General features: G+C 42.3%; 1 long non-coding RNA gene across 2 annotated transcripts, besides 5 other annotated features; it reads right to left on the reverse strand.

Annotated features, from left to right (window-relative positions):
* Positions 1-5,087: 5,087 nt before the first annotated feature.
* On the reverse strand, positions 5,088-21,833 carry LINC02362 (long intergenic non-protein coding RNA 2362). Of its 2 annotated transcripts, NR_125933.1 has the most exons (7): positions 21,661-21,833; positions 15,968-16,071; positions 11,866-12,007; positions 11,196-11,334; positions 7,940-7,994; positions 5,353-5,474; positions 5,088-5,173 (listed from the first exon to the last, which is right to left on the reverse strand). It is a non-coding gene; the product is annotated as a long intergenic non-protein coding RNA 2362 (long non-coding RNA). The 2 variants fall into 2 exon arrangements; NR_125934.1 differs by lacking the exon at positions 7,940-7,994.
* Positions 22,042-22,131: an enhancer, noted in NCBI's record as "active region_22214". NCBI's record gives its function as "activates an Ori minimal core promoter by ATAC-STARR-seq in GM12878 lymphoblastoid cells {active_cell/tissue: GM12878}" and the evidence as "EXISTENCE:reporter gene assay evidence [ECO:0000049][PMID:35858748]".
* Positions 22,605-23,804: an enhancer, noted in NCBI's record as "CDK7 strongly-dependent group 2 enhancer chr4:185304232-185305431 (GRCh37/hg19 assembly coordinates)". NCBI's record gives its function as "activates an origin of replication core promoter dependent on BRD2, BRD4, P300/CBP, MED14 and CDK7 cofactors, with strong dependence on CDK7, by STARR-seq in HCT116 cells {active_cell/tissue: HCT116}" and the evidence as "EXISTENCE:reporter gene assay evidence [ECO:0000049][PMID:35650434]".
* Positions 22,605-24,381: a biological region, named in NCBI's record as "CDK7 strongly-dependent group 2 enhancer GRCh37_chr4:185304232-185305431".
* Positions 23,622-24,381: an enhancer, noted in NCBI's record as "H3K27ac-H3K4me1 hESC enhancer chr4:185305249-185306008 (GRCh37/hg19 assembly coordinates)". NCBI's record gives its function as "activates a minimal SCP1, AML or CMV promoter by ChIP-STARR-seq in primed H9 embryonic stem cells {active_cell/tissue: H9 hESC(primed)}" and the evidence as "EXISTENCE:reporter gene assay evidence [ECO:0000049][PMID:30033119]".
* Positions 25,900-26,658: an enhancer, noted in NCBI's record as "H3K27ac-H3K4me1 hESC enhancer chr4:185307527-185308285 (GRCh37/hg19 assembly coordinates)". NCBI's record gives its function as "activates a minimal SCP1, AML or CMV promoter by ChIP-STARR-seq in naive H9 embryonic stem cells {active_cell/tissue: H9 hESC(naive)}" and the evidence as "EXISTENCE:reporter gene assay evidence [ECO:0000049][PMID:30033119]".

A 26,718-nucleotide genomic window follows, 5' to 3' on the forward strand; every position in this document is an offset into this window, starting at 1 on the left:
TTCCCTCATTCACCTAACTTCATATTGCAGGGCTAAGGGAATCCAACATCATTTTACCCATTCTTGGGATCTTGAAAGTTCTTTCTACAGTTTAACATCGTTATTCAATTAATGAAAGATTTCGATGACACTGTAGACTTGGAAAATTCACTGAACAATTCTATTCCACAGTTATTTCTGAAAATGTTACATAAAATCAACTTCTGGTGCTCCCAGTTCCCAAGAGGCCACATCTTCAATATTTCTTTGTCATGGATGCATGAAATTGTTTGAAAATAGAAAGGAAGTTTTACTTCCCTTGCTCCAAAACCCAGGATAACTTTCGATTTAATAGGCCTCTTTAAAGTCTGGGAACCCATGCTATTGCCTCCCCTGTTATCCACAAACCCACTCATCAGCCCTTTCCCCACTGAAGAATGAATGAGGCGTGACTCCCTGCCCAAGCAGCATTTCTGCCACTACATCAAAGCTCATTCATGCTTTGAGCTCCCAAAACGTAAATCCAAAGAAAACCTAGCATAAACGTTTTGCCCTGGTCAACAACTATCTGTCAAGTTAGATAACAGTGCAGGCTACCTTCTTCCCAAGTCAGGTCCTCAATATGGGAAAGTAGAGGAGGGAAAAATAGAAATTCCAGTCCGGTTTGGGTGGGTTAAAGAAGGAGACAGGGAGATTCAGGATTTGTGGGATCCCAAAGCTTATAAAATTTGAGGCATCCTGTTTAAGGAAAAAAAGTAAGATTATAAATATAAAATTATATATGAGTGTTAATATTTAGAATAAGAAAAGAACACAAGACAATAAATAATTTTTTAAAAAATGGCAAATAACACAAACGTGAAGTCCAAAAAATTAAGATTTTTCTTTAAATAACTGCTTAAAACATCTCTATCATACTTTTTCCATATGTTTATTAGCTGCCTATTTTATAATTTTGTAAATATAATTTACAAAAGAAATTATAAAAGAAATATAATTGCTTCTCAGACTTTTGGCTAAGACCAAGTATGGAGAATGGAAATATAACGCAGCCTTTTCTCCAGCATATTTGGTCAAAATTTGTTTTTTATTATCAAGAAGCTTGGAAAAGTTTCTTTTGGCTTCACAATTCATTCTTAATGATGTCATACACATATTTGGGTTGTTGTCAAGTTTCGGGAAATCCCTACGGCCTTTCATACAGGAGCTTTTGTAGACATGTTCATTATTTATAGTAATGCTACAGATTCCTGGCCAGTAAATATAGAAAGTCTGACAATTCTGGTTCATGCAATTCCTATCAAAAGCTAAAAATATAAGTATGATGAACTTACAATTGTATACTCTGCATTACTAAGTATATTAGTCTGTTCTCACATTGCTATAAAGAAATAGCTGAGACTGGGTAATTTATAAGGGAAATAGATTTAACTGGCTCACAGTTCCATAGGCTATACAGGAAGCATGGTGCTGGCATCTGCTCAGTTTCTAGGGAGGCCGCAGGCAATTAACAATCATGGTGGAAGGCGAGTGGGGAGTAGGCATGTCACATGGCCAGAACAGGAGCAAGAGAGCAAGGGGGAGGTGATACAACTTTTAAACGACCAGAGCTCACAAGAACTCATTTGTTATCATGAGGACAGTACCAAGAGGGATAGTGCTAAACCATTCATGATCTGCCATCAGGATCCAATCACCTCCCACCAGGCCCCACCTCCAACATTGGGAATTATATTTCAATATGCAATTTGGGTGAGGACATGTATCTAAACTATATCCCCAAGGTTATTCTGAACTGGGGAGAACTACACTTTTGAATAAGCATCATTAAGAATCAAGTCCTCTACCAACAGTTTTATCCTGTGATGGCTGGAAGAATTTCCCACAGACGAGCTGCTGGCTCCACATATTTCAAACATTGTTTTTCCTCCCCTTCCCCACACACTTCCAGGGCTGGTATCAATTGCCCTGCGTTCTCTGACGCTGCACATTTATGTCTTGACATCAGGAAAATCAGCCCAGTGGGCTCAGGGAGTATTCCTGGAAGTCATTCCTCATCAGGATGGTTATTCATAACTCAGCTATATGTGAAATTGTCAGAAAACCACATAAATAGGTCCCATTTAACCAAAACTAAATATATCTCTAACTTGAACTCCACTAAAGCAAATATGGAAAAACACCCCGGGCCACTCCCAGCACCCACGCAAAGAAAACAGAAACAGAGAGGAAGCAAGAATGGAAATAACCAGCAGTCTCCATTGCTTAAGTGTCTTACTTTTGCAAATTTTATAAACCTATGACCATTTGAACACATTCTAAGGTTCTTCCCAGGGTCTTACATTTTGTTATTTTAAGCCACCAAGTTTGTGGTAACTTCTTACAACAGCCCTGGGAAGCGAACAGGCCTGCAAAACTAGTTCCCACTGCAACTGAAATGAAAGAAGGAAAAATAAGCAGCATGACTTGTCCAGTCTTCTACTTGGAGAGCTAAGGATGTAGGATTTAATTCTTAAGGCTAAGGAAGTGATTGAGAAGAGGTTGCATGTTTCACTCACCTATTATTGCATAAAAAACCATGAAACAACCACTTCATCCTTATGCTCCCAGATTCTGTAGGTCAGGAATTTGGAAAGAGAACAGAAGGCATGGCTCTTCTCCATGATGTCTGGGGCTTCAGCTATGTTGAGTCCCATGGCTGGGGCTAGGATGGATGGGGCTGGATGACCCATTGACCTGGCAACATCTTGGCTCCTATGTCCAGTCTTTGAGTTGGGCTGGCTGGCGGCTGGCTGAGTTGGGGCTGGTGACCAGAGCATCTACCTGTGGTCACTGCAGCATGGCGGCCTCAGGCTCCAGGGACCGCTCACAGGGAAGTTCAGGGCCCCAAGGGCAGATGTTACCAGGCAACAATGCAAGTCTAGATTGCCTTCCATGACTTGGCCTTGGGAGTCATACGGTACCACTTCTGCCATTCTCTATTGGTCAAAGCAGACCCAGAATCCAGGGGAGTGGACACAGCCCCTACCTCTTGATGGGAAAAGTGCCAAAGAATTTGTGACCATGTTGCAACTTGCCGTATTGCACGTTGTTCTTTCACCTTCCTTACAACCCATCCTGAAGCTGCAGGAACAAGATCAGCTCTGCCTGAAAATCAGCACAGCGCCTCTAGCCCAGTCCACAGAGGTTCTACCAAGAAAGGCTGCTATGACGGTACATTAGTAATTTAAATCCTAATTAATAATGCAATGAATTAATATATACTTCACAATCTAAGGCACTATTTCATTGAAATCTCTGTTAAGTAGATGGTCTCTAACTTACGATTTTTTGATGTTATGATGGTGTAAAAGTGACATGCGTTCAACAGAAGCCATACTTGGAATGAATTTTGCCATTTGCTCTTTTCCCAGGCTAGTGATGTGCAGTATGATACTCCCTCTCCATGCTGGGCAGTGGCAGTGAGCCGCAGCTCCCAGTCCACCACAGTCGTGAGGGTGAATAACTGACAGTCTACGTTGTCCTGTGTTGCTGCGTGATTCTGCCCAGCAAAGTTGATGTATGTTCTGAGCATGTTTAAGGGAGTCGAGCTAAGCTGTGATATTTACAACAGGTTTGTCTGAATGGCACCCCATCGTAAGTCCAGGAGTATGTGTATTTGTCACAGCAAGCCCATGTGTAATGCTGCATCCCAAGACTTTTTGAAACCAGACTTTGGGAAATATATTGATACCATGTCTTTGTGAGGTTATCGTATAGCCAGAACACCCCTGTGTGGTTTTATATTCCTTCCTTTAGCCTTGACCTCTGATGAAACCCTGTTAAACATTACACTGTGTTCTCAGCCATGCTGTGAGGAATTAGTGACAGCCAGGCCCATGTGGATGTGTTGAGACAGAGGAGAGAAGTGTGGTACCCTCGTGGTTTTATATTCCTTCCTTTAGCCTTGACCTCTGATGAAACCCTGTTAAACATTACACTGTGGTCTCAGCCGTGCTGTGAGGAATTAGTGAAAGCCAGGCCCATGTGGATGAGTTGAGACAGAGAAGAGAAGTGTGGTACCCTCTTGCCTCAGGCTTGTAGCAATGGTGGGGTCTGGAGGGGGCCAGGTGTGTTTAGTGAAGATGTGACCCTTGGGAGGGTCATTTGTGGTGTGACCAGAAAGTCAGGATGGGCGGCCCTGAGAGACCTTCCTTTGAGCTCAAGTCAGGGACACCTTTGGGAAACAGTCATAAAGATAAGGCAAATAGCTGTGAAGGTGTCTACTGCCTCACAATAATCCAGCCAGGGGCCATGCCTTCAGGACCTGGCTTGGCTGTGCCCTGATGAGGTAAGATTCAGCTGCAACCTAGGCTGTCCTCCACTGACCAGACCCTGCACACTGGTGTGGGGCTGTGTGCACCTGGCGGAAGTGGTTGCTCACTGCCACCTCTCAAAGGTGTTACATGAACTAGGGCAGCCTGAATATTTTTATATATTAACAAGTACAATTCTGAAGCATAGGAAACAAAATTAGTGCAAATTGGGGTGACAAGGACTCAAGCCCGCTTGAGGTTACTGCTGGGGCAGATTTGAGTGGGGGATGGTCACAGAAGCTTGGGTAGAGGGCAGGACTAGGTGATAAGTCTCCTGTCACAGAAGTGGGAGTGGGGAGACAGATAGATAGATGATAGATAGATATTGTCTTGGTCTATTCCTGTCGCTATAAAGAAATACCTGAAAGTCAATAATTTATAAAGAAAAGAGGTTTATTTGGCTCAGAGTTCTACAGGCTGTACATGAAGCGTGGTGCTGGAGCAGTAGGTGAAGGGTAGCCGGTGTGTGCATATCACATGGTAAGAGAGGAGGAGAGGGAGCGGATGATGCTGCTAGACTCTTTTTAGCAACCAGATCGCTCAGGAACTAGTAGATAAAGAACTTGCTCATTACCACAAGGATGGCACCAAGATGGCCATAAGGGATCCAATCCCACAATCCAAACACCTCCCACCGGGCCCCACCTCCAACACTGGGAATCTAGTTTCAACATGAGATTTGGAGGGGTCAAACATCCAAACTATATCAGATATTCAGTGTCTTCAGCCAGTAATCAGCACTACAGGGTGTCTTGGGTGAGTGTCTGCATCTGCATGCCACGGTACCCAAGAGAGCTGACCGCATGGGCATGGGCAAACAGCAAGGCCTGTGCTGCCTTCTGGAAGCCAAGAAGATCAAAGAACTTCATATACTGATGACCCTCAAAACTCCCAACTCCTATGCCTGGGAGTCAAAGCCATACAAATCTGTGACTACTCGTAGGCTCTTATTTCAACCCACCCTCCTTCCCTCACCCACCATCACCACCAATAGCATAACCTAGGAAACATGACTTACATCTGGAATTCTGGTGGAAGTTCTTATCAGGACTATAAGTTTCTTGAGTCAAGATCATGCTAACTTCAGACCAGTATCCTCCAGGAACTCCTATAGTGCCTGATATATAATGGCTGCTCAATCTATATTTGTTGAAAGAACAAAGGACAGGGAGTTTCAGGACACAGTCACTGTAAAATTGGGTGCATCATATTCCCACTGACTGATTTCTGGCTCCATACTAGTGTGTGCCACCCAGTTTGATGCCGTTGCAGGGCTGAGGTGCTCCTGGGGGGCTGAGACATAGGAGAGCTGCCACCACTCTTGACAGTCATCCTGGGACACCTGAGCACTCTTGACTCAACCTCTGCCTGACCTAGCCAGTCCCTTTGGTTAAGGAGCTGGGTGTGGGAAGTTTGACAAAACATGGGAGAGAACCAAGGAGAGGAGAGAAGGGCACAGAAATTTGAATGCCATGGGCTCCATTTGTTTCTTCCAGCCTTGGGTGCAATTCAGCTTGGAGATAAGTGTGGACTGGGTGATCTCTCTAATTCCTTCATTTCATGAATGATGTGTCAAAGGAGAAGTAATGGTTTGGGGGTTTTGTTGGTAGGCTTGGCCATACACTTTTAATTTCATCTATAAGTTCCAAGAAAGCCAGCTGTGAGCTCCATAATTTCCAATTAAATGTCTTCTCCCCTTTTAGCCAGGAATTACAAAGTTCTCTTTTTGACATTTATTCTTGGTAGCTGGCTAAATGAAGAGCTAACATTTAAGTGAGCTGACATAAATGCCTGTTGATTTACGGTGTACGAATTCAGTAAATGTTTGTAAGCAATAGCTATGCTCAGCTCAATGTATCAAGGGACTTTTTAAAAGGTCTAGGGTACTAGGGCCTTCCACTAACTATTTAGTTAGAAAAATGGAGCAGAACTCCTTTGGGAAAATATAGAAAAAAGCTAGTCAGGATCTGATCATGAGTCCCATGAGTGGCCCAGTCATGATACCGGTGGGCTAGGCAGGTCCCCAAACACAAGTGGGACCTTGACTCCAGCCAGTGCCCAGGTGCTTGATATCATCGGGAGAAGAAATTCAAGGATGAGTCAGAAAATAGTGAAAGTACAGAGATTTGTTGCAAAGTGAAAGTACACACTCAAGATAGGGGAGGGCAAGCGGACTCCAGAGAAAGTTGTGCGCAAGGGTGTTTGGAGCTGCTACTTTTATGAGTTTCTTTAACCAAGGGGTGGAATATTCATGAAAATTCCTCGAAAAAGGTGGATATTTCTCAGAACTGTGGTGCCACCCACTTTTACACCAAATATGGGTGCTCCTGGAACGGTCATGGCACTGGTGGGTATGTGATTTGTATGTTAATGAATGAAAAATGAGGGCCTAAGAGAAACCTGAGTCAAATCCAGCACCATGTTGGGTCTAGTCGGTCTTAGCCAGCTTGGCCCACACCCTAGTTTTTCAGGGTCCTATCAGCCCCTAGCTCCTGTGGCTATTTCAACAGTTTCCTTTTGCTAGTCATGTGAAATGCCTGCCTAGAATTTTCTATTCTTCTGCGACCACCCTGTATTATTCCTGCCTCATTTCTGACAGAAGAGGCAGGAGGAAGACTGGAAAGGCTGGGTAGATTAAGTGAGAAGAGGAAAAAGGGAAAGGCATTCCAAGCAGGTAGAATAGCATGAGCAAAGGCTTGAAGGTAGCATAGTTGATAACCCCAAAATGTTTCTGTTATGAAGAGGAATCAGAAGGAAGTAATATGAAATGAATTGGTCGGAAAGGGATGAAATGCTCTCTAGAAGAATATGTGTTTGATCACGTTAGGGAGGAAAAACTTTCTTCTGTCCCATAAGTTGAATGGCTGGAGCCTGTAAATTTCACTGACGCAAGACAGGTTAACAGGAGAAAAGGAATACAAATGTATTTATATTTTTACGTGCATAGGAGTTCACAGAAAAGTAGTGAAATGCAAAGTGATTAGGCTCAGGGACGTATATATCATTTTAACAAAGGAAAGGGATGATAAATTGTGGGAAAGTGACTAGCAAATACATGGGGGAGATTAATGGAACAAACTTTAAAAAAAAAAGTTTGTTTATGCAGACTCATCTCAATGCTGACTGTCCATCTTTGATGGTAAGAGTTGCTCTACACTTCCTGCTATGGGAGTCGAGGAACACCTTCCACAAAGGGAATGTTACGCCCTGGTTTCAGGTAGAAAAAGAGAGCAGAGGATTCATCCTGCATCTGCTCATTTTCAATCGCTTGCAGCCCAAAATAAGCCGTATGTCAAAGTGGCATATTTTGGGGTGGCATATTCTGGACCCCTTCAATCATGTAGGTCAGTATTTGCCAAAATAGCTTCGCTGGAATTCTAGCCTTGTAATCTTTACTTGACCATAGAAAAAGAATTCCCAGCAATCTGCCCGTCAGACAATTCAAAAAAGCTCTGAGTCCTGCTGCCGTAGAGAAATCTGTTTAACTTTGTTTCCACCCTATTAAACATGAAAAGATCAACATCATCAGTAATTAAGGAAGTGTAAGTTGAAAATACAAACACCTATGAGAATGGCTAACATTAAAAAGAAAGAACTGGCAATACCAGGTGTGAATGAGGATGCCGAGACCTCAGATCTCCTTCATTGCTGGTTGGAGTGCTGTGGGGAAGTCAACAGGAAACTCAGGGTAGACAAGGGTAAGGTTTGTTTTGGAGAATTAAGTCAGCACCTGCTTCATTGACAAAAGTCTCCAGTGACTTCCACGCATCCTTCTTGCCCTGATACTGAGAGGGAGACACTCTTACAAGCAGAGACTTCCGTGATAGGTATAGATTTCCCCTGCACAGGGATCTGTTTTCAGATTAGAACTCCTGTGTCTGCAGTTTCTCAAAATAATCAGCTCAAAATAATCCTTATGCCCAAGAAGCATATTTTGGGGTGGCATATTCTTGTCTTCCATACTCATATTTTAAGATGGCATATTCTGGTCTAAATGGTCAGAGAAGACCTCACTGACAAACTGAAATTTAAGCAAAAACTTGAAGGAGATGAGGAAGAAAGCCATGTGGCTATTTAGGGGAAGAATGATCTGGGCAAAGAGAAAAGAGGTGCAAAGGCCCTGAGGCAGGTACATGACTGACTTCTCCAAATGAAAATCCATAGAACAGGGGGCTGGACACCTAGGATCCTGTCCTAGCTCTACAGATTATTTCTGCCATATGAGCCCATTTTCCTCATCCATTCAATTAAGGCATTCAACAAGGAGGTGACCAAGATCTCTTCCAGCTTGAACCTTGGATTCTAAATGCCCTCTGCTTTTGAGACTGCCGCTTGCTTTTCTGCCCATATGACCCACTGGTCATACTCACAAACCGAAGATTCACCATTTCTCCATCCATTCAAAATAAGTTGAGGGAATCTGGCCTTTGCTGATCTTTTTTATCTGCGCTTGACTCTGTTATGGTGATTCTATCTCACCAGCACCTTTTAAAAAGAAATCCAGTAATCTCGCTGATTTGAAATTATCTCCATCCCTTCAACCCTCAGCTGCTAAGTCAAGCAGCCTGACAAACACTCTATTTCCCCAATTCCAAGATACCATCAATTATAAGATACTCTATCAATTTAATAGCAGCATTTCAGTGGGAGAAAGAAAGAAAAGAAGGAAGGAAGAGAGATTAGAAACAAAGAAGGGAGGGGCCTGGCGCGGTGGCTCACGCCTGTAATCCCAGCACTTTGGGAGGCTGAGGCAGGTGGATCACCTGAGGTCAAGAGTTCAAGACCAGGCTGACCAACATGGAGAAACCCCGTCTCTACTAAAAATACAAAATTAGCCGGGCGTGGTGGCACATGCCTGTAATCCCAGCTACTCGGGAGGCTGAGGCAGGAGAATCACTTGAATCCAGTAGGCAGAGGTTGCGGTGAGCCAAGATCGTGCCATTGAACTCCAGCCTGAGCAACAAGAATGAAACTCTGTCCCCCGCCAAAAAAAAAGAAAGAAAAACGGGAGGAAAAGAAAGGAAGAGACAGAGAAAGAGAGAGAGAGAGAGAGAGAGAGAGAGGCACATCTTACTGTGTGTCTTCTTAAATGACTTTAGAATTCACTTATCCATGCCATTATATGCTGCTTTCATTACCAAAGTTTAACTCTGGCCTGTTTCATTATCAGAGACTAAATACTCTTCCACATGATTTTGGACACCCACAGTTACTCACAGCGGTATGGAGAATGCCAGTTTCCGGCCATGCTTATGAGCTTGGCCTCGTCAGCACACTTAAGATTGACAATGTAATTTGAGGGCATCATAGAGAATCCTAGTGGTTTATTGGCATTTCCTCTTTGGCCAAACTTATAATTCTGTTTTTCCTTATTTTAAAGATAAACATTAAGCAGCTTCTTTTGAAAATCACTAGAAGCTTTTAAAGATTTTGGAGCCTGAATAATAGTTTTTTTTTTTAATGGTGCATGAAGTAGTCATACCAATTTCCCCTTGCTTTGAAAAGTGTGTCATTTACTCTGTGCAGTGGGGGCGATGCCTAATGCCTGGCATGTGCCAGGCAATCTTTTGCACGCATGGTGACTTTTGCTCCAATGCTGTAAAGCAGAGTTATCTTTGTGAAAGACACTTTCAGTGGCAATTAGGGACATGAATCTAAGTTAACAGTGTGCTGTGCCACCAATGAAAATAACAAAACAAAGTGACAAAATGGATGAACAGATACTTCCACGAAGCTGGCTAAGGAGGTGTGGCCACAGGCCAGGTAGGCCACGTGGACGTGTCACTCCTCTAAATGGCTGCTGGAAAATTTTTTGACAGGGCGTACATTACACATCCCAATTTCATAAATGTTAACATGTGAAAAAATATAAAATGAGTCTTCAACTAGAGGAAATATGGCAGTTTTCAAAAATCTCAAGGCCTTGGGAGTTTCAGTTAGCCTGCAAAGCTGGGGCCAAGTCCGTCAGCTAAAAATGTGTGTATTCCTCTTCCCTTTCTGTCCTTACAACTCCGTCTGCAACCCTAACCCTGGAGATAAGAGAGTTCAAATCCCAGCTTGGAGGGAAACCAACCTAAAAAGGAAGAAGACAACAGTTAAGCTTATTTTAAGCTTCCTGCCTGAACTGCCATTAGGTTAATTTCTTCTAGCTCAGACGTCATTTTCTGAAGGCTTACAGGAAAATGCATATTTTCACGGCTGTGCTAAGAGATGGAGGCTTTCTTTCCCAAGGCCTTGAACTTCCTTTGAATTAGTAATGATGTGGCTATTGTGAAACACCAACTTGAATCTAATCAAGGAATTCGAAATTAATCCTATCCAAGAATTTTGCAGCTTTGTGTGCTCATGTGTGTGGTTATTTTGCCTTTTGGTGGGAGGTTTTCCCCTTCTTTTTAATGGCTATAAAGCAAACAACCTTTTCATTGTGGTTAAAAGTCCCCACACAAATGCCCTTCCCTTTCTGTTTTACCAGTAAGAGCTGTGCCTTGCCGCCTCTGAAACAATTCCCACACAGCCAGTCCTTTAAAATGAAGAGTAAATGCCCCACTCCGGAAATTCCGGAAATAAATAATAAGAACCTATACAGGAGGGCAAAGCCAAGCCGCGCCAAGATGCAGATGTCTCTGGAAGAAATTTACTCAAAGCTGTGGAAGAAAGAGTCACCGCATCTGGGCTCAGTGTCACCCTCGCTCAGAGCCCCAGGATGAGAGTGAGCATGACCCGTGTGTGCCTCGGGCAGCCAGATGCCCCTGCCAGCGCTCGCAGCCCTGCACACACACTGAAACCAGAAGATAAAGCAAACAGGACTTCAGGCCTCTGCCCCTTAGCCCTCGCCCTCCCTTCTGGAGCCATTCTGCTTACTGGAGAGTGAAGAACGGCATCCCTGGCCAGGCGCAGGGGCTCACACCTATAATCTCAGCACTTTGGGAGGCCGAGGCAGGTGGACTGATTGAGCCCAGAAGTTCAAAATCAGTCTGGTCAACACGGTGAAACCCCGTATCTACAAAAAATACAAAAATTAACCGGGCATGGTAGCGTGCATCTGTAATCCCAGCTACTCTGGAGGCTGAGGTCGAAGGATTGCTTGAGCTTGGGAGGCGAAGGTTGCAGTGAGTCGAGATGGCGCCACTGCACTCCAGCCTGGGTGACAGAGTGAGACCCTGTCCCTTCCAAAAGAAAACAAGAATACCACCCCCCACCCCCGCCTACTGGGTCAGCTAGAAACCCTTTCCTCTCATTTCTGGCCATGAAATCCTCCACATGTAACCCCTCTCTCAGCACAAAGACTTTCAGATAAACCTGACTTACCTGGGTTGATTTCCTTAATAGGAAAAGGCCTCATTTTTTACATTGCTGAACATTGCTGCATGGCACACAGAAGGCCTGGGTTTTTCCACCCACCGTCAGGCCCATCAGTACCCCCACCCCTTCCCTGGGAGCCACTATTGCAAGCAGAAAAAATGCACTTGGAAGAGCAGATGTCTGATTAAATAAGGAGCCATCACTGCTTCACAGTGACACGTAAATGTACCTTTTGCATCTGTTTGTGTTAAATACCCGTCTTCCAGCACAGTCTTCTTAAAATAATGGCTAACTTTTGAAATAGATGCTGATACTTCTTTAGCAGATTTTGTCCGCAGGTTTTCTTGAGGTCAGCGATATAGCCACAGTCCCTGTTGGATGGCAAACATCTTCAAACATTTTGTGCAAATTACATTATTTATTATGAACTACTTGAGTGCCAAAAGACAGTAATACTTTTTCATTGAGCATGCATGCATTTTTTTAAAAGCTCATTTTGCCAAAATTGTTTCTCATAAAAGAAAAAAGGAATTACTAAATAACAAAATAAATGGTGTAGGTATATACCATATTAGGGTTCTCTAGAGGGACAGAACTAATGGTGTGTGTATATATATATACATATATATATGTATATATATATATGTATATATATATACACGTATATACATAGGTATATATATGGGTATGTATATATGTATATACATAGGTATATATATGTGTATATATATACGTATATACATAGGTATATATAGGTATATATATAGGTATATATAGGTATATATAGGTATATATAGGTGTATATAGGTGTATATATACATATATAGGTATATATACGTGTATATAGGTATATATTATATATAGGTGTATATATAGGTGTATATATAGGTATATATAGGTGTATATATATAGGTCTATATATATACACCTATATATACACGTATATATACACCTATATATATACACGTATATATACACACCTATATATATGCACGTATATATACACCTATATATATGCACGTATATATACACCTATATATATGCACATATATATACACCTATATATATGCACGTATATATATACCTATATATGCACGTATATATATACCTATATATATATGCAAGTATATATATACCTATATATGCACGTATATATACACCTATATATATGCACGTATATATATACCTATATATATGCACGTATATATATACCTATATATATGCACGTATATATATACCTATATATGCACGTATACATATATGTGTATATATATATATATATGAAGGGGAGTTTATTAAGGAGTATTCACTTACAGGATCACAAGGTCCCACAATATGCCGTCTGCAAGCTGAGGAACAAGGAAGCCAGCCTAAGTCCGAAAGCTGAAGAACTTGGAGTCTGATGTTCAAGGGCAGGAAGCATCCAGCACAGGAGAAAGATGTAGGCTGGGAGGCTAAGCCAGTCTAGTCTTTTCACATTTCTCTGCCTGCTTTTTATTTTGGCCGTGCTGGCAGCTGATTAGATTGTGCCCACCCAGATTAAGGGTGGGTCTGCCTTTCCAGCCCACTGACTCAAATGTTAGTCTCCTTTGGCAACACCCTCAGCAGACACACCCAGGATCAATACTTCATATCCTTCAATCCAATCAAGTTGACGTTCAGTATTAACCATAACATATACTTTACAATAAATGACATAACTGTTGTAGCACAAGCAGCAGTACTTTGTGCATGCTCTGTGGAAGGACTGCTCAGCTTTTCTTTTCTGCACATATTTCATATGCAACTAACTTATCATTTCTCATGTTTCCCACTGACCCTGCCGAATAGCCATGTGATGACATTGTACATCTCACAGGCCATAGCACGGAACACACAGCCCAGCTGACTGGCATACCAAATGGCTTGCAGGAGCAGAAGCATCAAATATTAATACTTCTCCAACTAGGCCTGCAGATGTGAAGGAGTTATCTATCCCTTGAAACTTGTGTCTGAAAGCACATTTTATTTGCAATCATCCCACATCCTGTGCTTAAAAAGGAGATACTTGTTATGCTGTGTCTGGAAAAGGTCAGAGAGAATAACTTGTCAACTTTTGGATTTAATCACACATTGAAGTGAGAACTGTTTTTCTTGTGCATGCAACTCAGACTATACTAGAAAAGACCATGGCAGAAGCTAGAGTAAAAGCAGAGGTCTACCAAGCCTATCCAGGTTAATTTAATGCAACCATAAATACAAATATATGATGAATTTTCTTTTTAAGATAGGGTCTCACTCTGTTGCCCAGGCTAATCATGCAATGCGTGGTCACAGATCACTGCACTCTCAACCTCCTGGGCTCAAGCTATCCTCCTACCTCAGCCTCCCGAGTAGCCAGGACTGCAGATGCACCCACCACACCTGGCTAATTTTTGTATTTTTTTTGTAGAGACAAGGTCCCACTATATTGGCAATCTTGGACTCCTAGGCTTAAGTGATCCTCCCACTTTGGCCTCCCAAAGTGCTGGGATTACAGATGTTAGCCATCATACCCGGCCTTATATGGCCAATTTTTCAAAATGATCAATGTATATTTGAAAAGAAAATACATTCTCTATTACTAGGGCATAGTGTTGAATATGCATAAGGTCTACTTTATTATTAAGTTATTTAAACAACTTTGTTTATTTTCTTCCCATTCAATCTGTCTTGTACTGGCTGTGATGTTAAAGTCTCCTATTAATGTGTTTAATATTCTATTCCTATTCTCACGTTGTGTGATTTCTGTTTTATATTGGTGGTTGCTGTGTTATTTGGTGCATGGTCATAATTATTGTACATGAACTGTGAAACCTGGTTTTCAATATTGCATAGTATATTTCATTGTCTCATTTAAGGCTTTTTGGCCTGAATTAACTCATCTGATATAATAATCACTATCCTACCTTCTTATTGTTTTTATTTTTCTGGTATATATTTGCCAGTTTTTTACATTTTTGGCCTTTTAAATCACCATGTTTGATGTATGTCTATTAAATATAGCATGAGGTCAGGTTTTGCCTTGTGGGCCAGTTTGAGAATTGGCTTATTCATCGCTATAACAAGAAAAGAGAAGAAACCACTGAAGCCCAATCCACTTATTGGTATGACTCATATATTTGGTCTCAAGTATCATATTATTTTATAATTACTGCATGTGTCATACTTACCATATTTCCTTCTTTAATTGCCATATTGTATTTGCTATTTTTTTTTTTTCATTTCTTTTGGCATTTCAGAATGTTTGTATGTTTGTTCCAGTGGTTGTATTTATTCCATTTTAATCCCTTCTAACTTCCTTTTCTTCTTACTGAACATTCTATTGTCTGGTATGACCATTTATACTCTTCTCCTTCACCCATTATCTACCTAACTGTTAATTCTACTTCTCTGCTTTCTCCTTTCTTTCTCTCTTCCCCTCTCTTTTCTTTTTGATTGCATAATTTTTGCTTTTCAGAACATATAATATATATATACTACTCTTTAATCCATGTCCTCGCCCGTGTTTTAACTATACAATTAAAAATATTAAATTTTCACCATGCAATATACTCCACTGTATTAGCTCATTTCATGCTGTTATGAAGAAATACTTGAGACTGGGTAATTTATAAAGGAAAGAGGTCTAATTGACTCACCGTTCCACATGGCTGGGGAGGCCTCAGGAAACTTACAATCATGGCAGAAGGGGAAGTGAACATGTCCTTCCTGACATGGTGGCAGGAGAGAGAAGTGCCAAGCAAAGTGGGAAAAGCCCCTTATAAAAGCATCAGATCTCATGAGAACTCACTCACTATCATGAGACCAGCATGGGGGAAACTGTCCCCATGACCTAATCACCTGCCAGGAGGTCCCTCCCCAAACTGTGGGGATTACAATTCAAGATGAGATTTGGGTGGGACACAGAACGAGACCATATCAACCACAAAATATATTTTCACCACCAGTCCTTTTGCTAATTTTTTTCTAGTTTTGCTCAAACAAAGCTCAACCTCTAGGAGAGTCCTCCTGTACATGTGTACAGTATCCCTGAGTTATTGCATGTTGAAACTGTTTTACTTTAATCTTGATACTTGAAAGAGCCTGGCTGGATATAAAAACATTGGCTCACACTCTGTTCATAAGTCCTTTAAAAGGCTGTTCCATTATTGACTTGCTTTGTCTGTTGCTTACGAGAAGTCTGATGCCAGTTTAGTATTCTTACCCTTATAAGTAATTTGAGCTCTTTGCCTGGAGGCCCTGTAGTGGATTGAATAATGGCCTCAAAAAGATATGTTTATGTCTAAGTCCCTGCAACATGTGAATCTTACCTTATTTGATAAACCAGTCTCTGCAGATGTCATTAAGTTAAGGATCTTGAGATGAGATCATCATGGATTATCCAGGTGGGCCCTAATTTCAATGACAAGTATTCCTATAAGAGAAAGGCACAGGGGGGATTTGAGAGAGACAATAGAGGAAAGAGACAGGGATAAAGAGGAAAAGTGCATGTGAAGACAGAGGTGGAGTTTGGAGTCATGCACTCACAAGCCAAAATAACACCTGGAGGCACTGGAAGCTGGAAAAGGCAAGGAGGGATCCTCCCCTGGAGGCTTTGGAGGGGACATAGCCCTGCTGACACTTTGATTTTGGACTTCTGGCCAAAAGTGAAATAATACATTTCTATTCTTTTAAGCCACCAAGTTTGTGGGCATTTGTTACAGCAGCCACAGGAAAATAACATAGGCCCTGAGGATTATCTGTGTGTGTGTGTGTGTGTGTGTGTGTGTGTGTGTGTTTACCTTTAAAGCCTCATAGTTTACTAAAAATATCTCAGTTATTCTCTCTAGGTCAGTTTTTCTAGATATAGAGTGGGCCTCTTCAATACATACATTATATTTTCTCTTCTTTCTGGAAAGTTTTCTTGAATTACAGTTCCATTCCATTGCTTTGTTTTTCTTCTCCAGGAGCTCCTATCATATGTATGTTGGATCCTATTTGCCCATCCTCCATTCCAATCACTTGTGTTTAACCCTGTTTACATCCTTCTTTATTCCCTTCGTTATTTTACTGCCCCTTTTCAATGTTGAAATTGTTCAATGTTCAAATCTACTATCCCTCACTACCTTGTAATCTATTCTTCATTTTTGAAATGATTTTGTATTTTTCTTGAATTTCATTCCATAGCTCAATCAACTCATTGCATGTCTTCCTATTTTGTGCCCACTATGGCCTTAGTTATCAAATTTCTGTTTCTGGGTTTTTTTTTTTTTCTAAATACGTCCCATTGTTTGAAGATAACTACTTCAGTTTGGAATGTTGGGTTACAGTTTTCTTCTGCTCTTTGGTTGGTTTTGGTTAAGAATTCTCATCAGTTAAACTGTAATGATTCGCATTTGTGTGTGTATGTGTTCTTCTAATAGTAGCTCTTTTTGGAATTAGGTTGCTTTTTAAAATTTATTTTAAAATTTTTTGGACAGGTTCTTAATTCAGGAATATCCTCTCCTGTCAGTGCAGTGCAGAAATGGGTAGTAATGGGATAGTGGGCCATTATGTCTTATTTCTCTCTAATTTCTGCAAGATCCTCTATTTTTCCCTCTTAGCTCCTTCTTTCTCATCACTATCAAGTCTCTAAGGAGCACTACTGTTTCTTAGTTTATGTGATTCTCCCCAAGAAGCAATGCTCCTTTGAAGCTGCTACTTCTGGTTCTGCTTATTTTCAATCCCCTTCCCTTTAACTGTGCTGTGAATGTGTCACTTAGCAGTGAAACTTTTACTTTCTGGAGGTGATTTTGTTTATGCTATGTCTAAGTTTTCTCTGCCTCTTTCCTCTTTTTCCTGGGGATTTTAAGTCTTCTCTCTCCCACTCTCTGCACACAGCTTACAGTGGGTATAAGTGATGGGAGTTCATTGGGAATATGGTGTTTGTTTCTCTACTTATTGGTCACTTAACATTTGCGGTATCCTCCATCTTCCACTAACGCTGAAGGCATGGACCATGGGTGATTATCTTGTGCTCCTGTTGAATTTAAGGGTTCTGTGAGGAGGTTCAAATTCAGATGGCCACAATTATTCTGGAGGCTCCCTTGGATTAGTGTTTCTTAACCTTTTTGAATCCATTTTCTCTTCATCAGCATAAAAATCACATACATTACTGTTATTTTTATAAAATTCAAAATAGATGAAATATTATAACTAAAAACAAATCAAACCAATGAGACAAAATACCATTTTCTTTCCAGACACACATTCTCCCCTCCACAGATTCTGATGTGTAAACATTTCTTTACCCTCTTCTCCAAATCACTGAACTGAATAATTTTCATAGGCATAATACTGAATCAGTAAAATTTTGCCATAGTTGTTTTGATGCATAAGTATTTCAATACCTCTGAATTTGTATCTTTTATGATACCTCTGTCCTTTTTTCTTACTTCACTTTTTACTGTCTGTTCTGTTCATTTTAAGTGGTATAATTTAACTCACACCCAATACCTATAAAATTGTAAACAATACTATTTTACTTTCCCTCTTCTTCTATATTAGTTAGTTGCATTCTTTCTACTTTGTGAGAACATATCATATTTACTTAGTATAATTCCAACCATGTTCCCTGTTTTAGTCTTAGCTATATAATCAAATACAGCAAATTTTCATCAACAGTCCTTTTGCTGAAGTTTCCCCAGTTATCTTTTGCTGGATGAAGCTCGTCCATTAGTGGAGTCTCTGGAAGGGCATGTAAGGATGGTATTTATTCAGTGTGGGGGCTTTGATGTGAGCAAAGGTGAAAGCCTCAGAGAAGCATTGCTTCTTGGAGGAGAATCAGATTCAAAGAAAAGGCGTGGTACTTCTTACAGAGTTGGCAATGAAGGGAAAGATGAAAGCACGTTGGGGGAGAATTTTAAGAATTTCTTGATGAAATGAAGGAGATACAGCTTTACATCACAGTGGTCACGTCACAAGGAAAAAACTCTGTTTTTATCGTCCAGTTGTAACTTCAATGTCCCAGGGCTTCCCAACCTGTAGGTACACATGATGTCATATTACTACTACATGAGCTGTCCTAAACATTCAAGTCCTAACCTTGAGACCCCAGCCTATGAAACCTCAGGAATTCAATAGCAGCACCCCCTGTTGCTACCTTTTTTTTTTCTTTTGAGATGGAGTCTCACTCTATTGCCCAGGCTGGAGTGCAATGGCGCAATCTCGGCTCACTGCAACATTTGCCTGCTGGGTTCAAGTGAGTCTTCTGCCTCAGCCTCCCAAGTAGCTGGGATTGCAGGAACCTGCCAGCATGCCCGGCTAATTTTTGTATTTTTAGTAGAGACGGGGTTTCACCATGTTGACCAGGCTGGTCTCAAACTGCTGACCTCAGGTGATCTGCCCACCTTGGCCTCTCAAAGTGCTGGGATTACAGGTGTGAGCCACTGTGCCCAGCCTCCACTACCATTTTTGAGGTCCCTCCCACCTTTAGTATCCAGGGTTCTCTGCTTTTGTGTGCCAATCCACTAAGTACACTTCTGCCATCCCTAGCCCTGGAGCTGCCACTGCTTGGGCCAACGGCCTACCTACTGCCTTTCTGCCTTTAGGCAATTTTCATTCCTTAGCTAAGGCTTCTGCTTTCCCTACTGTCTTAGTCACTTTGGGATGCTATAACAAAATACCTCAGACTTGGTAATTTATAAACAATAGAAATTTATTTCTCACAGTTCTGGTGGCTGGGAAGTCCAAGATGAAGGCATAAGCAAATTCAGTGTCTGGGGAGGACCTGTTTCTCATAAATGGCACCTTCTATCTGTCCTCACATGGTGAAAGGGGCAAACAAGCGTCCTTAGGCCTTTTTAATAAGAGCATCAACCCATTCATAAGGGCGGAGTCCTCATGACCTAATCATCTCTCAAAGTCCCCACCTCTTAATACTATTGCATTGGAGATTGTGTTTCAATATATGAATTTCGAGGGGACATAAACATTCAGACCATAGCATCTACTGATGCAGTCCTATTCCAGAATGTCTAGGAACTTTTACCGGGCCATATGCCTCTGTCATTACTGGGGAAGTTCTCATCTTCTACTTGATCTGTCACCCAGGCTCAGGCCACTAAGAAATAGCTAGGGAAAACTCTGCTTAATATAGGTGATATGGTTTGGCTCTGTGTCTCCACCCAAATCTCATCTCATATTGTAATCCCCATAATCCCCACTGTTGAGGAAGGGACCTGGTGGGAGGTGATTAGATCATCGGGGTGGTTTCTGCATGTTGTTCTCGAGATAATGAGTGAGTTCTCACAAGATCTAATGGTTTTGTAAGTGTTTGACAGTTCTGCCTTCACGGGTTTCTCTCACCTGCCGCCATGTAAGACATGCCTGCTTCCTCTTTTGCCATGATTGTAAGTTTCCTGAGGCCTCCCCAGCCATGTGGAACTATGAGTCAATTAAACCTCTTTCCTTTATAAATTACCCAGTCTTGGGTATTTCTTTATAGTAGTATGAAAACGGGCTAATACAAGGGGTGACTGGGACCTGAAGTGGCAGTTTTACACTCCCAGCCATTCTCTCTTCAAGGTACACACACCCCTTGAAGCAGGCAGGTGTCTTCACGGGTTCAGGCAGCCGTCAAGACACTGTACCAAGAACACCTCCTACCACCTTCAGAGCCTAATTGGCCCCATCCTCAGGCTAGATTCTTTTCCTGGGATCCCTTCTCTGCAAGCTCTTCTAGCTCTTTTCCCAGGAGCCTCCTCAGCCCCTACGTTAATCTGTTTATGCAAACATAACACAGAAGGCCTGGCCCTGCCCTCATGCCTGGCACAGGTTAGGTTCTGACAAAGCACCTGCCATGTAAGCTCCCTCATCCTGTCCTGAGTGTGAGATTCTAGCATAGGGTAGAAAGATACCAAGAAAGCACAAAAGCTTAACGTTTGTGGCTCTGTTTTATGAATATGTTGAAATATTCCCAATTTCAAAATTGCTGAGTCAAAATGTCATGAATCCCAGGATCTAGTGGGAATTATAATGCAAACTGGTCCACAAGGGAAACTGTATCAACGGCCAGAATGAAGCAAATTAGAATCACTTCAATAATCAAAAGTTAATGTAATTCTACTGGGTGGCTTTATAAAGCTTAAAAAGTTTGTTTGAATCTATGTTGTTTAAAAAACAAAATTGGCCAGCCACGGTGGCTCACACCTATAATCCCAGCACTTTGTGAGGCTGAGGCGGGTGGATCACTTGAGCTCGGGAGTTTGAGATAAGCCTGGGCAACATGGTGAAACTCTGTCTCTACAAAAAACATACAAAAAAATTAGCTGGGCATGGTGGCATGCACCTGTATTCCCAGCTACTACTCAGGAGGCTGAGGTGGGAGGATGGCTTGAGCCCAGGAGGCAGAGGTTGCAGTGAGCCTGCACTCCAGCCTGGGTGACAGAACAAGACCCTGTCTTAAAAAACAAAAATCAAATTGAATTAACTGCCAGCAGGTTTATATCCCCTTCAACTTCTACCAGAAAGGAATAAATTCTCAGCTCCTTTTATGCCACTTGACAACAGAATGAGGCTTGCTCAAAAAAGGGATAGCTCAGAGAAGGAAAGACTAATTTTAGCTATATAGAAACTGGGGTCACATGTCTGAGCTCTGACAGCCTCAGTGGTCAAATCTTGAATTCATGGAAGTCTGGGAGAAGATGGGTACTTTGGAATCAGTGCTCCAAAATATGGATCTTAGCTATTTTATATGCAGATGGTGTGGCTGATATAACTGAGTGCTTGCAATGTACTTCATACTTTACATTATCTTATCTAATTCTCACCTTGCAAGTAAGGTGTCAATACCCCCATTTTATATGTTGAGAAACTTTTTCTCATAGATACAAAGAGATGTGCCCAAAGTCGTCAGCAAATAAGAGCAGACTGAACCCAGGTTTATCTGATTTCAAAAAACGTATTCTCTTCCCACTACATATGTTGCTTTCCCAACTACTCTGGAAGGTATGGGATGCAGATTTCATTCTCTGGATATTCTTACCTTGGATTTTTCACTCCCTTTGGTATTCCTGGCAGGTTTCCTGAGGTGTGACAGACATCCTGAAGAGGCACTCAGCACCCATTCTCAACTCCTTCTGGAGTGTCTTCCTCTACTGCAGAGGCGGGAACTCTGAGAGCCATTTTTCCAGTCTCACTTGCAGCTGGGGTTCTAACTGTGAATTAGGTTCAACCAATTATATGCATTTGCAAGAGATTTGGAAGTCAGAATGGAGGCAGAAGCCACTTCCTACTGATTGGCTGTAAACACTGGCAAGCATGATTGTGGTAACACCGGGGCTTTCTGAAGCCATGTCTCAAAGTTCAGCCACTGATTGCATGGGTGTCGAGAGACATTAAAGTGGTGGTGACAGAACTTTCTAATGAACAGATTTCAGCTAAAACAATGTGTCTTCGGAGTCACTATTCCCAGTGACAGGCTCCTGATTTCCTCCCTTTACGGTGGTGGCAGATGTGGAAGCACCCGCAAGCCGGCTCCTCCAGCCTTCCCAACGACGTTGTAAACACCTGCTTCTCTCTAGACAATGACTTTCTGCTTAAAATAGCTGGCGTGGTTTTTGCTTCCTGCAACTAAGCCCCATTGATATATGCTGTTTTCCTTCTTTCCCTCTAACTGCTGGTTTTCACAACAGCCAACCCCGCAATCGATCCTTTAAGCTCTAAAATGAAAGCCTTGAATATCTTCATCACTCCATATCCTGCTTTGTTTTTCTCCATAGCAGTGATTGTCACCCAAAGATTATTTTTATTATTTGTTGATTGTCCACCTTACTAGGATTTAAGCTCCATTAGAACAGATACTTTGTTTTGTTCACTTCTGTGACAACTCTCTGACATTTAGAAGAGTACTAGAAAATAGCAGGAATTCAGTACATAGGGTTGAATGAACGAAATCTACCTTTCTTAACCAAACACCACATTAAATTCATGCATTAATAGGGTCATCGACAAGATATCCTCAATAACACCTCCTCATGAAACATTTACCTGGGTTTTAAAAATCCTCCAAAAACACAAAATATCATTTGTGCTATGTAACTCAGCATTACATTTAGGTGACATCCCCTCCCAGTTTGCCTGAGACGTTCCTGGTTTTAGCACTAAAAGCCCCATGTTCATGAGAATCCCCTCAGTTCTGGGCAAAAAGATGATTGGTTATCCTAATTAAATATCTTAGTTGCTGAGAAAGGCACTGTAATTACATTACTTTAGATCAATTTTGCAAATAAAAGTTTGAAGACACAAATCCACCTGTGGTCTCCTTCCCATATCAGCTGTGTTGCACAGGATCCCCGGAACCATCAGGTAAAATCCAAGCAATGGCTTTGGGTTGTATTTTATGTTTTTTACTAAAATTTCTATTGCTTGTACCCTGAATATTTCAGAGCTGAGCCTGTGAAATCTTTTCTGCATCTCAGTTACATTCGAAACATGAGCTTCCCAGAGAAAAGATACTGCAGCATAAACATGTGCTCTTGAGTCACAGCACCGGGGAAGTCCCCTTGGGATCCAGCAGAGTGAACTCTGCAGAAAATATGGATCAATGTTAATTCTGGGGATGAATAAAGGCTTAGTCATCACCTTCCCCCGATTAAGGAACGCACTCCCATCTCGCTGCTAACATTATCCTGAAACTTCAGGCAGTGAGTTCCGGTGCAATGTGTGGATTCGAAATGTCAACGCTTCTGAACTGGCATATTAGAGAAAATTTGGAGAATAAGAGTATTCTCAGACACACAACCCAAGCTGCCAGAACATCTTGGATATCCTCTCCCTGATGATTCATGTGGAGAGATGTTTGGGTGTTTAGATTTTAAAATATGCTTCCCAACCAAAAGTGAAACTTAAAGATGCTATCACTCTGGAGTTTTTTTGCACCTGCAAAACAAAAATTTGTGTTTTTAAAATTAACTGTTTTCGCGACACAGTCTGTTGCATGTGATATTGGTGTTTCTCCAGCCAAGCATGTAAGGGGTTAACTGGGCAGCAGTTGCACAATCCCAGCACACTACATTCCACAGCACCAGCAATCTCTGTCTGAACGTGTTTATAAAGCAGATACGGGGAAACTGACCAAACCTCCAAAGGGCAGTGTGCTTACAGGAACAGAAGCACACACACTGCTTTTCTTCTGAAGAAACTTGGTCAGACTCCAGAGCAGGCTGTTTTCAGACTATGTGAACTCTGAAATGTGCTACATCTTGATCCTTCCACGGCACAACCCGGGTTCTTGGATAGACTTAACATTTTTGCTAAAACCAGCTATTAGGCCTGACCACTTCCTTCCTTCCAGGCACTATTTTCGGAAGCAGAGACACAGTGCCTCTGCACCTGTTGTTCGTGTGGCCACAGAAGCAAACCTCTACAAAACCCTCATTTGTCTGCACAGCAGGACCAGTGATGCCCAAGCCCAGACAGGGAATGGGGGTGGTACCAGTGTCCCATGGGGCCAGTGGGGACCCAGAGGCCAGACAGCCTCACGAAAAAGCATCTCCCCCTGACTCCTGCCAGCTTCCTGCATCTCCTGACCTGAAGCTTCGCACGGCCGGGCTCTCCTCTCCAGGCCTGTGGTTGGACACATTCCTAAGGGGGTGAAGCCAACAGTCCCAGCCCTGTTCTTTTGACACCGGGATGGTGGGGCTCTGGGGAGGAGGAGATCCCAGGGATGACAGCCTAGTAGTACCCAACCTTGATTCACATGCTGGGGTGCAAATGAGTGAGAAGCAGCCTCAAGAAGCTGATGGTGTCACCCAACTGCCCTTGGGAGGGGTCCACTGCAGCCTGGGGACAGAGGGAGGTCAGAGTCACGTCCCACCTGCTCTGATAACTCTGGCCCCAGGCACGTCATTGTACTGTGGGATGGAGTTTCAGGGTGAGGTAGGCGGCTGAACGGCACCATGTAAAAACCAGTTTGTGCCTCCAAACCAAACTGGCACTCAGACATTAGCTGTTTGACCCCTGAATGCCAATGAACTCATCTTGGCTACCTGTGTGTAAACCTTTCCCTAGCTTTTGTCTTTTATCAGGAGAAATCTGGCAGAATAGTGGGGGTTCTTTTTTTTTTAACCTTTTATCTGGGCTTATTTGTCCAAAACTACAATAGCAGGGGGCCTTTAAAGCCTAATGAACGCAGGTTACAGAGTGGCCTCAAGCAGAAGGAACGTCTCATGTTCCATCTCTCTGAATTAGGGGCAGGAGGCCAGCTGGGGCTTACCATCTTTCCATTCACATGCAAAGCACTTCCAAAAGCACAAGTTTGAAAACTCAGACTCCTGAAATCAAATCACTCATCTCCTTCACTTCTAAAATCTCTGTCTCAGTAGTGGTTACATGATAGTACGGTACACTTGGGATTTGGGTGGGGAAAGGGTATTGTTTTAGGGTTTTGATGTCCAAAGAATTTGTATTCCATAGCCATGTGTATTTCTTTTTTACAAATCCTTTGAAATAGACTAAATACCACCTTTGGCAGTGGTTCATCAAAACACGGACAAAACAGTACGGTTGAGGGTGGATTTATTTAGATGTGCAAATGGCATTCCAGAAGCCCCTTTCATCGAGGTGTGTGGATGTGCTGGGTGCTTGCAACCTCAAGGCTGGGCAGAAATACATGTCCCTGAATTCACAGTTCACAGCTGTACAGTGAGCCCATTATCAAGGGAGTGACCCAGGTACTGGCTGCAGAGAATGGAAACTATTGTTCCAAAGGCAGTTACACTGAACTTGAACTTGCTATTAAACGCATACGTGCACACACACACCCAAGCCCATCATCAAAGCCTATCAGCTCACACAAATACCAACCAGAAGCATGCGTCCCTGGCACTTCCTCTAAGTGACGACAAGGTCTGAGGCTTGGGTCCAGGAGCTGCCCCAATGCCTTTGTTTTCCTTCCCCATGTCAACCCCAGGCATCCTGAGACTAGCTTGTTTTCCTGCGTTGCTGGCAAGTATCACTTAGAAACAATACAGGCTTTCTCAGAAGGATTTTAAACATGATTCTGTTTTTCATGGCCTTATTGGCAATGGAGTATCATCTCTGGAACTTAAATGGTGCATTTCCAAGTCCTGAATTTTCTTCCACTTGATGGGCCTTGGGAAGTCTAGTTACGCTACAGAAGCAAGGGGAGGGCAGCAGGAATGGCATTCGGGACCGAGATGCAGGAAGAAGCCCTGAGTCTGTGTTGGGAAGAAGGAAGGGGGAGGAGACCTGAGCTACCTTAAACCCTTTGATAACCAGGCCACGTGACTCAGGGCAACCTTCCGTTGCTGTTTTGTTAATTTATTTAAAATAGGATGACTCAGTAAAACATTTTAGATGTAAGTCTCAAAGAACTGAACTTCTCCATTCAGGACCTGGGGGAAGAGCAGGTCTTAACTGAAAAGTCGGGTGCCAAGGAGCCAGGGAGCATCTGTTTCTTCCTGATAACTCCCCTTCCACTGAGAAACTGAGACAGTCAACGAAAGTGCTCCTTCCAGAAGCAGCCCCGCCTCTGTGTGTGGCATTTCAACTACAACGCATCCGCCAGGAAAATGCTCCAGTTGATTTCCATTCAGGGCTGGATAACTTTATGACCGCTAATTATATCTGCAGCCACACATGGAGATAGGCATAAAAATAGCCTTTTGTCCTTTCATTAAAGGAACCTCTTCAAATATTAACTTAGCAATCTCCTCCACAACCCCCCAGAGGTAGTAGGCGGGTAGCAAAGTTTTCATATTCTGATTTTACAGAGTAAGATACTGGGGATGCAGGGGAGGCTGGTGCTGTGGCTTTCTCCAGGCCAAGACTATACCTTCAAACACCAAGTGGCTGATAAAGACTGGTGTTCTTGAAGTCACCCCTTTTATTCCACAAGACAGACCCCAAGTTTTGAGGGCACGGTCTATGTGTAAGGCCTCGGGTCCTAGAAAGACGAGTGACGGACATGGTGTTAGAGCCCAATACATATTTCCTGTTGTGGAAAATGTCTTATCCATGCACCCCTCTAAGTGACATAAACACAAGACGTTTGTCGTACGTGTAAGCCTAAGGATGAAAA

This window comes from Homo sapiens, chromosome 4 (assembly GCF_000001405.40).
Source record: "Homo sapiens chromosome 4, GRCh38.p14 Primary Assembly".
NCBI lineage: Eukaryota > Metazoa > Chordata > Mammalia > Primates > Hominidae > Homo > Homo sapiens.